Source organism: Homo sapiens, chromosome 17 (assembly GCF_000001405.40).
Source record: "Homo sapiens chromosome 17, GRCh38.p14 Primary Assembly".
NCBI lineage: Eukaryota > Metazoa > Chordata > Mammalia > Primates > Hominidae > Homo > Homo sapiens.
The window spans coordinates 67,943,235-67,957,062 of NC_000017.11; the positions used below are offsets into that span (position 1 = coordinate 67,943,235).

At 43.8% G+C, this 13,828-nt stretch overlaps 1 protein-coding gene across 51 annotated transcripts in view, besides 1 other annotated feature; it reads left to right on the forward strand.

The window, feature by feature from the left end:
- BPTF (bromodomain PHD finger transcription factor) overlaps positions 1-13,828 on the forward strand; it is a 158,876-nt gene that overhangs the window by 117,732 nt on the left and 27,316 nt on the right. For 29 of the 51 annotated variants that reach the window (XM_005257150.4, XM_005257154.4, XM_005257153.4 and 26 more), the window contains 4 exons: positions 916-1,138; positions 2,175-3,091; positions 4,492-4,574; positions 4,847-5,072. In XM_005257150.4, coding sequence (XP_005257207.1) covers positions 916-1,138; positions 2,175-3,091; positions 4,492-4,574; positions 4,847-5,072 — 1,449 coding nt within the window. Of the gene's footprint in view, positions 1-915; positions 1,251-2,174; positions 3,092-4,491; positions 4,575-4,846; positions 5,073-13,828 lie in introns of those variants that run through there. The other 22 variants (XM_005257159.3, XM_005257161.4, NM_001439140.1 and 19 more) reach the window with 2 other exon arrangements.
- Positions 11,139-11,433: an enhancer, noted in NCBI's record as "tiled region #4989; K562 Activating DNase matched - State 8:EnhW". NCBI's record gives its function as "activates a minimal TATA promoter and a strong SV40 promoter by Sharpr-MPRA in K562 cells {active_cell/tissue: K562}" and the evidence as "EXISTENCE:reporter gene assay evidence [ECO:0000049][PMID:27701403]".

The following is a 13,828-nucleotide window of genomic DNA, read 5'->3' on the forward strand; positions in this document are numbered from 1 at the left end:
GTGCATTTTGTGCATAAAAAATGTATTTTAGAAAAGCAAGAGTAAATAAGTTTTGAGGGATTCACATGTATATGGAGCTTACTTAGTACATGGACTTTGCGCCATCAGTTTTGGTCATTGGGAGTTTAGGGGATGGTTTTTACTTTTGCTTTCCAGTTCTCCAGCATGTTCCTGGTATTCAGGGTTTCTAGTTGAATTACAGTTCTGGACAGAAGAGAGAGCGCCTAGAGAATTTTAAATTTCTGGACCCCTTTTTGGTAACTGCTCAGACCTTAGTGATCCTCCTTACTTGGTGTTTGCATTACATATCTAAAACCCTAAGCTTTTTACAGTTTAGCACACACACACCCCATAGGTAATTTGGCACGTATTGAAAGACAAAATTCAGGAGATCTAGGTTCCTTCTTTTATCTCACCTTTAAGTTGGCCAGGGTACTTGACCTTTCTAACCTGAGTTTCTTAGTTGGGAATCAGAAGAATATTTTCTCTGCCTACCCCATAAAGTCACAAGTCCATTGTGAGAATCAAATGAGGCAGTATCTATGAAGATGCTTTTGAAATTGTAAAATATGAATATAAGATTATTTAAAATCAGAATTTTGTGGGGACTTTAGTTATTCAATACCTTTATTTTATAGATTGGGAAACTTGGATCTGGAGGAACAGTGTTGCTTGTGGACAGATAACTGGCTGACCATTGGGGGAGCTTGAACTGGAACTCTGGATTGTTGATGTTTTTCCTACTAAGCAACATAAATATTCTTACTTTAGCTTATCTAAATTCCTGCTGGTGACATTCAAATATGTATTTTCATTATATTAAAAGATAATTACACATAAAAATGATTTAATAAAAATGATATACATACAGATTGATGCTTTGAACACTGTTTACATGTTGTGTTTTTTCCACAGGGTGGCAATCAAGGTTTGACAGTAGTAATTCAAGGACAAGGTCAAACTACTGGACAGTTGCAGTTGATACCTCAAGGGGTGACTGTACTCCCAGGCCCAGGCCAGCAGCTAATGCAAGCTGCAATGCCAAATGGTACTGTTCAGCGATTCCTCTTTACCCCATTGGCAACAACAGCCACCACAGCCAGCACCACCACCACCACTGTTTCCACGACAGCAGCAGGTAGAGCTGTGGGTTTATCGGAAATGTCGGATGTTACTACTACACGTGGCTGGGCTAACAGAGGCCAACAGGAGAACCAGTATTTACCTTTGGAAGGATATGCCTCAAGCCAGTGACCTCAACAGTTGACATAGTCAGCCTCACAACGTCTCGAAGCTTTTGTACCCTATTCTTACAGACTCCCTGTTACCACCACCCTCTCCCTCCTATTAAAAAAGAGAGAGAGAGAAAGGGGGCAAAAATAATGGTTATCTTGGTAACTATGCCCACACTTACTCCTTGCTAAGCCTTGTAGGTGCTGATTCAGTCATGGAGGTGATCTCAGGGAGGGTGGGTAAATCCAGTTCATGACCTCAGATTGAGAGTGGGTCCAGAACCACTTTGTTGACCTTCTGCTGCAAGTCATTGTAACTAACTACCACCACATCATGGGAGAAAAGTGAAGCGTGGCAATTAGCCTGGGCCAGATGACCCAGCTGATTTCCAGAGGCTGCAACTTACTTTGGAAACCAGCCCTCTAGAGTTAGGAGAGTGTACAGGGGACAGCCAAGAAGCAGGGCCCAGGCTTCCCAGTTTCAGAGCGTCCTGCCCTAAGCGTGTCCAAATGGAGCATTTCAAAGGCATAGACCTTCTGTACCAAAATACAAAATTCTCAACTTTATTTACTTTATTTATTTTTTCGAGACAGGGTCTTGCTCTGTCGCCCAGGCTGAAGCGAAGTAGCACCATTACTGCTTACTGTAGCCTTGAACTCCTGGACGCAAGCAATCCTCCCACCTCAGCCTCCCACGTAGCTTGGACCATAGCCATGCTCCACTATGCTCAGATAATTTTTTATTTTTTTTGTTTTTGTGTAGAGACGGGGTCTCACTATGTTGCTCAAACGATCCTCCCACCTCAACGTCCCAAGGTGCACAGGTGTGAGCCACCACGCCTGGCCAGAATTCTCAACTTCAGAAGATTTCCTTCAGATTCTTCTTTAACCACAGTTTTATGTTCCAGAGTAATAGAAATGGTTCATCTTTCCTTTTTACAGGTACAGGTGAACAAAGGCAGAGTAAACTGTCACCCCAGATGCAGGTACATCAAGACAAAACCCTGCCACCAGCTCAGTCATCAAGTGTGGGTCCAGCAGAAGCCCAGCCACAGACTGCTCAGCCTTCAGCTCAGCCCCAGCCCCAAACCCAGCCCCAGTCCCCAGCTCAGCCTGAAGTTCAGACTCAGCCTGAAGTTCAGACCCAAACAACTGTTTCATCCCATGTCCCTTCTGAAGCACAACCCACCCACGCACAGTCATCCAAGCCCCAAGTTGCAGCACAGTCTCAGCCTCAAAGTAATGTCCAAGGACAGTCTCCTGTTCGTGTCCAAAGTCCATCACAGACTCGAATACGTCCATCAACTCCATCCCAACTGTCTCCTGGACAACAATCCCAGGTTCAGACTACAACCTCACAACCGATTCCAATTCAACCACATACATCTCTTCAGATACCTTCCCAAGGCCAGCCACAGTCACAACCCCAGGTACAGTCTTCAACTCAAACTCTTTCATCAGGACAAACTTTAAATCAAGTTACTGTTTCATCCCCATCCCGTCCTCAGCTACAAATACAGCAGCCACAGCCCCAAGTCATTGCTGTGCCTCAGCTGCAACAACAAGTCCAGGTTCTCTCTCAGATCCAGTCACAGGTTGTGGCTCAGATACAGGCTCAGCAAAGTGGTGTGCCCCAGCAAATCAAACTCCAGTTACCTATCCAAATTCAGCAAAGCAGTGCTGTGCAGACTCACCAGATTCAGAATGTGGTTACAGTGCAGGCAGCCAGTGTGCAAGAGCAGTTGCAAAGGGTTCAGCAACTCAGGGATCAGCAGCAAAAGAAGAAACAGCAACAGATAGAAATTAAGCGTGAACACACCCTCCAAGCTTCTAATCAAAGTGAAATCATTCAGAAACAGGTAAAGTTATTAAGTAAAAGCAGCATGTTCAGTAGCTTGAATTATTGTGCTGTGCAGTAGAATTAGTGTTTGGTTGTGTTAGGTTTCCTAAATGAGACAAAGTCATTAATGTTTAAATTTAGAAGAAACACTGAATTGACCAAAAAAAATACTGAATGACTACTGTGGTGTGGAACACTTCGTTAGATACATATAATATATAGTCAGTGCTTATTAGGAATGACCTGTATTTTGGGAGGACTAAGATGGGAAGAATGGAGTTATGAGCTTTAATCTTTAATATAAAACTTGAGGGTTTAACTAAGTTTTAAAGCCACTTCAGACATTATAGCAATTCCTTTAAAGTTATTGAAAGTTGTCATTCCTTAGTTTGCATGTAGACTATGCAAATTATAGACAGATTAAACTCATTTGCATTTCTAGCCACACCTTTGTAAAAAAGTTTTTGAAAACATATTATTTCATAGCTTAAGTAAAAAGTGGCATCATCCAGCAACATCTTGCAATGGCACATTAGTGAAATAAAGCAATTTAGATGAGTTAGAATTAGTCTACTAAAGTGAAGTCACACATATAACATCTGATAACATTACTGGCAGAAACCATCTTTTCATCTACCTATAGCTTGCTTCGCTCAGCACTAGGCAGGAGTTTGAATGTGGATTTTAAGTGTTACCAAGTTGTGAGACCTTCATTCAGTTCCTAGGTCTCCCATTCACAGTCCGTGAAACTCACTTATCCCTCCTTAGCTATAGCCTCTTAAAACCCTTCTCTTTCCAGCCACATGAGATTATTGCAATGATTAAATGAGGTCATAAATGTAGAAGCACTTTTTACACAGCGAAGTTATTTTAAAGATGTAGTATTCTTATGAAAATGACGGTCATATATATTATATTTAAATGTATTATTACCCAGCTTTACTGTGTATCTATAAACTGAGAATTACTACACTGTCTGTCTATCCGCTAATCTTTGTATAGGGGAGACGAGGGACAGTTCTTTAAAATTCATTCCTGGGAAGAAAGCATAATGTTAAAAATACGGCCTTTGGAGAAGGATAGCCAGGTTAAAATTTCAGCTGTATTACTTACTGTTTGTCAAACAAGGTGGTTAATTTCTTTATGTCTCAGTATCTTGTTTATAAAATTATTGCTATGGTTCAGTGTTGTTGTAAGGAATAAACGAGGTAATGTCAAGTGCTTAGCCTAGCACGGTACCCAGCAGGTGGTAAGCACCCAGGCCATCTGGTAGCTGCTAATTTTATTTATGTTACGATATAAAATTCTTACAGTTTCTTTAAAAAAACACATATGTGCTCAAATTTCTACTGTTGTTATCTGTGTACTAACCTGTGGTGATTATAAAATATGCGCTTTTGGATTTATTCTGTCCTGAAGGTGGTGATGAAGCATAATGCTGTAATAGAACATTTAAAACAGAAAAAGAGCATGACTCCAGCTGAAAGAGAAGAGAATCAAAGGTAGGGGAGACGCAGGGTCTTGTTGTCTGTCCGTCTCTTCTCTTTATCGTGCACACGCACAGAGTTCTGAGTTTATACTTGTTTATCTTGATTGAAGTTCATTAAATGAGAACACTTGGCACTAATAGTTACTCATAACTGGTTTGAACCACTCTTGACGTTTTCCAGTCACAGAAAGTTTTTGTCTCATCTGTAGAGGCATAGAAGAATGATGTCTTAAGCCTTTCAAAATGAAACGCCCAGCATTACATAGGTTGTGTATTTTTCTCTAGAATGATTGTCTGTAACCAGGTGATGAAGTATATTTTGGATAAGATAGATAAAGAAGAAAAACAGGCAGCAAAAAAACGGAAGCGTGAAGAGAGTGTGGAGCAGAAACGTAGCAAGCAGAATGCCACTAAGCTGTCAGCTCTGCTCTTCAAGCACAAAGAGCAGCTCAGAGCCGAGATCCTGAAGAAGAGAGCACTCCTGGACAAGGATCTGCAAATTGAAGTGCAGGTAAGAGGGCACATCCTTTTCTTCTGTGTCCAGTGTTTAACATCTGAGGTTCTGCTTTTTTCCCTTGCCTTTTTAATAAAGCTTAAAATTTCAGTATGTTTTCTAGAACTTACATTTGTGTACATAGAGTAAAAAGCAGTGCAGCGTGTGTGTCTTGCAAAACAAGTCAGAGCTTTTATAACTAAATGTGTAGTTATATTGTATTCTCCAGACTAGCAACTCTGAGAGGTGAGCTTGTTGATTGAATTGTTGAAAAACTCTGAGAAGAGCTTTTCATGTCTATGACATAGTCTAGCCAAAAGTAATTAGGAGCAGAGCTTCATGAGAAAGGTACAGAGACAGTGAAGTAACGTTGAAAGAATGAAAAATAACATGAGTCCATTAAATAAGACAAATTGCACCAGAATGAGGTGGCTCACTCCTATACTTCCAGCAGTTGGGGAGGCCAAGACAGGCAGATCACTTGAGCCCAGAAGTTCGAGACCATCCTGGCCAACATGGCGAGACCTCATCCCTACACAAAATGAAAAAGTTAGCCAGATGTGGTGGCACACAGCCCAGGTACTCGAGAGGCTGAGGCAGGAGGATCACTTGAGCCTGGCAGGTTGAAGCTGCAGTCAGCCCTGATGGCACCACTGCACTGCAGCCTGGGCAACAGAGCAAAACCTTGTCTCATAAACAAAACAAACAAATAAAAAATTTCTTCCTTGACTTGTAAACGATTCTGTAGGTATTGCTAACCTGCTTTCTAGAGGAATTTATTAAAAAATGAAAGTAGGCTGGCTGTGGTGGTTCATGCCCATAATCCCAACACTTTGGGAAGCCAAGGTAGGCAGATTGTTTGAGCCCAGGAGTTCAAGATCAGCCTAGGCAACATGGCAAAACCCTGTCTCTACAAAATACACAAAATTAGCCAAACATGGTGGCATACGCCTGTAGTCCCAGCTACTTGGGAGGCTAAGGCAGGATGATCACTTGAACCCGGAAAGCAGAGGTTGCAGTGAGCCTTGATCGCACCACTGCACTCCAGGAAGCCGAGGCGGGTGGATCACGAGGTCAGGAGTTCGAGACCAGCCAGACCAACATGGTGAAACCCTGTCTCTACTAAAAATACAAAAATTAGCTGGGCGTGGTGGCAGGCACCTGTAATCCCAGCTACTTGGGATGCTGAGGCAGGATAATCGTTTGAACCTGGGAGGCAGAGGTTGCAGTGAGCTGAGATCACACCACTACACTCTAGCCTGGACAACAGAGTGAGACTCCATCTCAAAAAAAAAAAAGTAGACATCTATTTATACATATATATACACACACACATATATACACATACGTACATATATATATATACACACAGACATATATATATATACACACAGACATACATATATATATACACACATGTATATATATAATTTACACATAATTACACAGCTTTTTTAAAGAGAAGTAGGTTATCTCAAGCATTTCAAGGCCAGACACGGTGTCTCACGCCTGTAATCCCAGCACTTTGGGTGGCCGAGGCAGGTGGATCACCTGAGGTCAGTTCAAGACCAGCCTGGCTAACGTGGTGAAACTCCGTCTCTACTAAAAACAAAAATTAGCCGGACATGGTGGCAGGTGCCTGTAATCCCAGCTAGTTAGGAGTCTGAGGTGGGGAGAATTGCTTGAACTAGGAAGGTGGAGGTTGCAGTGAGCCAAGATCGCACCACTGCACTCCAACCTGGGCAACAGAATGAGACTGTCTCAAAAAAAAAAAAAAAAAAAAACATTTCATAACATATCTTAAACATTTTAAGAAGGTGAGAAATAGACCAGGCACAGTGGCTCATGCCTGTAATCCCAGCACTTTGGAGAGGCCGAGGCGGGCAGATCACTTGAGCTCAGGTGAAGGTTGCAGTGATGCGAAATCATGCCATTGCCCTCCAACCTGGGCGACAGAGTGAGACTGTCCCCCCGCCCCCACCGCCAAAAAAAGAAGATGAGAAATAGTAAGATAATATTAACCAGACTAATAATACTACCTATCTGTGAAACATTAGAGATCTTCCAGTTAAAGTCAGAAACCAGAAACCCCAGTGATGCCAACAATCAACGTTATTATTTAGCATTTCTGGAAGTTCTGGCAAATATGTTAAGCCAAGCAAAAGAAACAAAGACAAAAAATTGAGGAAAGAAGACATTGTTTTTATGTGTGGTATGATTATTACATCAAAACCCCAAGAAAATAATTATTACAATTTATAATTCAAGGCTGGGCACGGTGGCCCACACCTGTAATCCCAGCACTTTGGGAGGCTGAGGCGAGCGGATCATTTGAGGTCAGGAGTTCGAGACCATCCTGATCAAGATGGTGAAACCCCATCTCTACTAAAAATACAAAAAAATTAGTCAGGCATGGTGGTGGGTGCCTGTAGTCCCAGCTACTTGGGAGGCTGAGGCAGGAGAATTGTTTGAACCCTAGAGCAGAGGTTGCAATGAACTAAGATCATGCCACTGCACTCCAGCCTGGGTGACAGAGTGAGACTAGGTCTCAAAAAAAAAAAAAAAATTCAGTAACGTAGTCAGTTACAAGATAAGCATTGAACCTGCCTCCCAGGTTTAAGTGATTCTTCTTCCTCAGCCTCCCGAGTTGCTGAGATTACAGGCATGTGCCACCATGCCTGGCTAATTTTTTGTATTTTAGTAGAGAGGGTGTTTCACCATTTTTTGTCAGGCTGGTCTCGAACTCCTGGCCTCAAGTAATCCACCCGCCTTAGTCTCCCAAAGTCCTGGGATTACAGGCATGAGCCACTGTGCCCAGCCTCAATTTGGGTTTTTATGGAAGCTTCATTACATAGTCATTAATGATTACATCATTGGCTGTTGGTGGTCAGCTTAACCTTCAGCCTCTCTCTCTCTCTCTTTTTCTCAGAGGTTGGGAGGTGGCACTGAAAGCCCTGAGAATCAGCCCCAATCCTGAGGCTCTCTAGGAGCCTCCAGCCATCAGTCAATCATTAGCATTAAAAAAAAATCTTATTTTGCAGATTCTGAGGGTTTTAGGAATTGTATGCTGGGAAACAGGGAGGAAGATCAAATATATATTTCACAGTATCACAGGACCACAAAGAGGAGATTGGTCATCAGTGTTTCTCAACAGAAGCACTTTGGCCTCTTGAACAAGCCAGTTTACACACTGTAGAAGTTTAGCATCATTTAAAGTGTGCCACACACTGTTTCCGTTCCACATTCTACACAGAGTGGGAAAATAGTTGTAGTTTATATCCTTTATGTATAAAAAAGTTGGTCAGTTGCCCTTCAAAGCCAACAAATGAAAATGATCTCTAAATCTAACCCCCAAAGACAATCATTTTTAAACAACTTTAGAATATATCTTGTATATATTACTTTAATGTATGTATTCATATATAAACCTGTTTTATACAGAAACAATCTAACGAGGAAGAAAAGTTATACTTTGAGAAAGGAGGAGCCAGGTGCAGTGGTTCATGCCTGTAATCCCAGCACCTTGGGAGGCCAAGGCAGGTAAATCACATGAGGCCAGGAGTTCGAGACCAGCCTGGCTGACACGGCGAAACCCCATCTCTACCAAAATACAAAAATTAGCTGGGCATGGTGGCGCACAACTGTAGTTCCAGCTACTCAGGAGGATCAGGCAGGAGAATCACTTGAACCCAGAAGGTGGAGGTTGCAGTGACCCGAGATCATGCCACTGCATTCCAGCCTGGGCGACAGAGTGAGACTCTGTCTCAAAAAAAAAAAAAAAAAAAAAAATTATTGCTAAGGTAATTTGCTTTGAGTTTGAGACCAGCCTGTCCAACATGGTGAATCCCCGTCTCTGCTAAAGCTTCAAATATGTATATGTACTGGCATATTTTAAAAATAAATTTTAATTTTATAAGATATGTGATTGCTTCCTTACATCTGCCTATTCTTATTTCTGCCTCTTTTTTTTAATAGGCTTTTTTTTTTTTTTTTGGAAATGGAGTCTTGCTCTGTTGTTCAGGCTGGAGCGTGTAGGGCCATCTCCGTTCACTGCAACCTCTGCCTGCTGGGTTCAAGCAATTGTCCTGCCTCAGCCTCCTGAGCATCTGGGATTACAGACACCTGCTACCACGCCCAGCTTTTTTTCTATTTTCAGTAGAGATGGGGTTTCACCATGTTAGCCAAGCTGGTCTTGAACTCCTGACCTCAAGTGATCCTCCCTCCTCGGCCTCCCAAAGTGCTGGGATTCCAGGCGTGAGCCACCACGCCCAGCCAATAGGCTTAATTTTTTAGAGCAGTTTTACGTGCAGAACGTACAGTTCCCATATTATTCCTCCCCCACCCACACACAATTTCCCCTATTAATGTTAGCATGGCACATTTGTTAGAATTAATGAGCCAATAGTGATTATTATTATTATTAACGAAAGTCCATAGTTTACATTAAGGTTCACTCCTCGTGATCTGTGGGCTTGGCAAATCCCTAATGTAACGTATTCATCATCACAGTATCATTCATAATAGTTACACTGCCCTAACAATCCCGTGTGCCACCTTCTTGTTCCTCCTCTTTCCCCCTGTGCTAGTCTTTTTGATAAAATAATTTGTTTTTTAATAAAGCTTATACCTTCATTACATCTTTGAATATATCAATAAAGTTTTTGTCAAATTGTTCTTTACTTTTTTTTTCGAGATAGAGTCTTGCTCTGTCGCCCAGGCTGGAGTGCAGTGGCACGATCTCGGCTCACTGCAAGCTCCGTCTCCCCGGGTTCACGCCAGTCTCCTGCCTCAGCTTCCCGAGTAGCTGGGACTACAGGCGCAGGCTGCAACGCCTGGCTAGTTTTTTGTATTTTTAGTAGAGACGGGGTTTCACCATGTTAGCCAGGATGGTCTCGATCTCCTGACCTTGTGGTCCACCCACTTTGGCCTCCCAAAGCGTTGGGATTACAGGCGTGAGCCACCGCGCCTGGCCTTTTTTTTTTTTTTGAGACGGAGTCTTACTCTGTCACCCAGGCTGGACTGCAATGGCGCGATCTCGGCTCCTGCAACCTCCTCCTCCCAGTTTCAAGCGATTCTCCTGCCTCAGCCTCCCAAGTAGCTGGGATTACAGGCGCCCACCACTGCACTCGGCTAATTTTTTTTTGTTTTTTGAAGAGATAGGGTTTTGCCATGTTGGCCAGCCTGATTTCAAACCCCTGACCTCAGGTGATCCACCCACTGCAGCCTCCCAAAGTGCTAGGATTACAGGCGTGAGCCACCATGCCCGGCCCGTCAAATTGTTCTATAATTTTTTTTTTTTTTTTGGAGAAAGAGTTTTGCTCTTATTGCCCAGGCTGGAGTGCAATAGCACGATCTCGGCTCACTGCAATCTCCACCTCCCAGGTTGAAGCAATTCTCCTGCCTCAGCCTCCCGAGTAGCTGGGATTACAGGCGTGCACCACCATGCCCAGCTAATTTTTTTGTGTATTATTCGGAGAGATGGGGTTTCATCATGTTTGCCAGGCTTGTCTCGAACTCCTGACCTCAGGTTATCCACCCACCTCAGCCTCCCAAAGTGCTGGGATTACAGCTGTGAGCCACTGTGCCTGGCTGTATAATTTCATTTGGAGTGAATTCAGATTAGACCATTGATTTTATTGGCTTTTTTATCTTTTTTCTTTTTCTTTTCTTTTCTTTTTTTTTTTTTTTTTTTTTTTTTTTTTTTTTTTTTTTTTGAGAAGCAGGGCCTTGTTCTGTTGCCCAGGCGGGAGTGCAGCGGTGCAATCACAGCACACCACAGCTTCCACCTACCCAGATCAGTCAGTCCTTCCGCCTCAGCCTCCCAAGCAGCTGGGACTACGGGTACGGGCGAATGCCATGCCACCCTGTCTGGCTAATTTTGGGGTGTTTTTTGTTGTTATTGTTGTTGTCGTTGTTTTTTTGTAGAGACAAGTTTTTGCCATGTTGCCCAGGCTGGTCTCAGAATCCTGGGCTCAAGCAAGTGATCCTCTTGCCTCGACCTCCCAAAGTGCTGGGATTACAGGCATGAGCCACCGTACTCGGCCCTGGTTGTCTTTTTTTCATATTACATGTTTTCCTTTTCAAACATTTAAGTTTTGCAAGCTTATTTTGAGTGAGAGGAGTTTTGTTTTTGTTTTCTCTCCCAAAGCCCAGTGGAGCCCAGTCAACCCTTAACTTCCAACAGGGAGCCGGCTCTTATCACTGCCTCACACACAGCATGTTAGTCTCCCTTACCCCCCAGAAACCCTAATGTTAGTGTTCGGCCACCTCTTCTTCCTTCTGAATCTGGAGCCTAGCAGGCCTGCAGTTTTAGTCCTGCTCACAGTTTTGTGTCTCTATTCCATTGAGATTGTTGTAACTTATTTAAGCATGACTATTTCTTCTCAGTTTCTCTTTTTTATATTTTATTTTCATTTGTATGTTTTTGAAGGGAGAGGGAAGATCAAAGTGTGTGCCCACTATACAATCTTGGTTTTCCCAAAATCCGTCCCATGATGTTATAAACATATGAACTAGGAGATGAAACTCAAGGTTTTCTTTCTAACCTAGGAAGAAGTTCAGTCTCTCTCTATAAATAGAGAAGGGCTGTTGAATAATTTGTCACCTGACTTCTCTTTTGACTTTGTAAGACCAGATAGTCTATAGACAGAAACAGATTCATTAAACCAGGGCCATTCAGGTTTATTTAGTAAAATATTTGTGATATGTTTAAAAGCTTTGGCCGGGTACGGTGGCTCATGCCTGTAATCCTAGCACTTTGGGAGGCCGAGGCGGGCGGATCACGAGGTCAGGAGATTGAGACTATCCTGGCTAACATGGTGAAACCTAGTCACTACTAAAAAAAATACAAAAATTAGCCAGGCATGGTGGTGGGCGCTACTTGGGAGGCTGAGGCAAGAGAATGGCATGAACCCGGGAGGCAGAGCTTGCAGTGAGCCCAGATAGCGCCACTGCACTCCAGCCTGGGCGACAGAGCCAGACTCTGTCTCAAAAAAAAAAAAAAAAAAAAAAAAAAAGCTTCCTGAGGTACTCATGTAATGATTGTTACTAGTGTAGTTGGTGCATAGGGATGGGTGACCCTGCAAAAAAGGGGCACAGCAAACTCTATTTCAGGTACAAATGGACCTTATCTTTAGGCAAATCCTTGAAATTTTGGCAGGGGGGAATCAGGTTTTCCTGTGAGTTTTTTGTTTTTGGCTTTTCATAGACATCTACATGAAGTCTCTGCTTTAGAATCTTAAAACTGTAGCTTCAGAGGCCGGGCACGGTGGCTCATGCCTGTAATCGCAGCACTTTGGGAGGCTAAGGCTGGAGGACCACTTGAGCTCAGGAGTTCGAGACCAGCCTGGCTAACAGGGCGAAATCCTGTCTCTACTAAAAATGCAAAAATTAGCCAGACATGGTGGCGGGCGCATGTAATCCCAGCTACTTGGGAGGCTGAGGGAGGAGAATCACTTGAATCCTGAAGGCAGAGATTGCAGTGAGCCGAGATGACACCACTGCATGACGGAATGAGACTCCATCTCGAAACAAAAAACTGTAGCTTCAGGGATTCACTTAAATTATCATTTATAGGCCAGGAGAGGTGTGGCTCATGGCCTGTAATCCAAGCACTCTAGAAGGCTGAGGCGGGTGGATCAGTTGAGGCCAGGATTTTGAGACCAGCCTGGGCAACATGGCAAAACCCTGTTTCTACAAAAAAGAATTCTCTGGGTGTTATGATACACGCCTGTAAAGACAGGGTCTCGGGCCAGGCGCAGTGGCTCACGCTTGTAATCCCAGCACTTTGGGAGGCCGAGGCGGGCGGATCACGAGGTCAGGAGATCGAGACCATCCTGGCTAACACGGTGAAACCCCGTCTCTACTAAAAATACAAAAAAATTAGCCGGGCGTGATGGCGGGCGCCTGTAGTCCCAGCTACTCGGGAGGCTGAGGCAGGAGAATGGCGTGAACCCGGGAGGCGGAGCTTGCAGTGAGCCGAGATTGCGCCACTGCATTCCAGCCTGGGAGACAGAGCGAGACTCCATCTCAAAAAAAAAAAAAAAAAAAGACAGGGTCTCACTTTGTCACCTATGTTGGAGCACAGTGGTGCCATCATAGCTCACTGAAGTCTTGACCTCCCAGGCTTAAGGGAGCCTCCCACCTCAGCCTTCCAAGTAGCTGGCACTATAGGCATGTGCCACCACACCTGGCTGATTTTTGTATTTTTAGTAGAGATGGTGTTTCGCCACGTTGGCCAGGCTCGTCTTGACCTCCTGGACTCAAGCGATCTTCCAGCTTCAGCCTCCCAGAGTGCTGGGATTACAGGTGTGAGCCACTGTCCTGGACCAATTTTTTTTAAAGAAGGAAAAATAAAATTAATTCAGTTCTACTTAAAAAAAAAAAAAAAAAACGGTCAGGCACAGTGGCTTACGCCTGTAATCACAGCACTTTGGGAGGCCGAGGCGGGCAGATCACGAGGTCAGGAGATCAAAACCATCCTGGCTAACATGGTGAAACCCCATCTCTACTAAAAATACAAAAAAATTAGCCGAGTGTGGTGGCGGGCGCATGTAGCCCCAGCTACTCAGTAGGCTGAGGCAGGAGAATGGCATGAACCCAGGAGGCGGAGCTTGCAGTGAGCTGAGATCGCACCACTGCACTCCAGCCTGGGAGATAGAGCGAGACTCCGTCTCAAAAAATAAACAAAAAAAAAGCTCTTTAAAGGAAACGTGCCCGGCACGGTGGCTCACGCCTGTAATCCTAGCACTTTGGGAGGCTGAGGCAGGTGGATC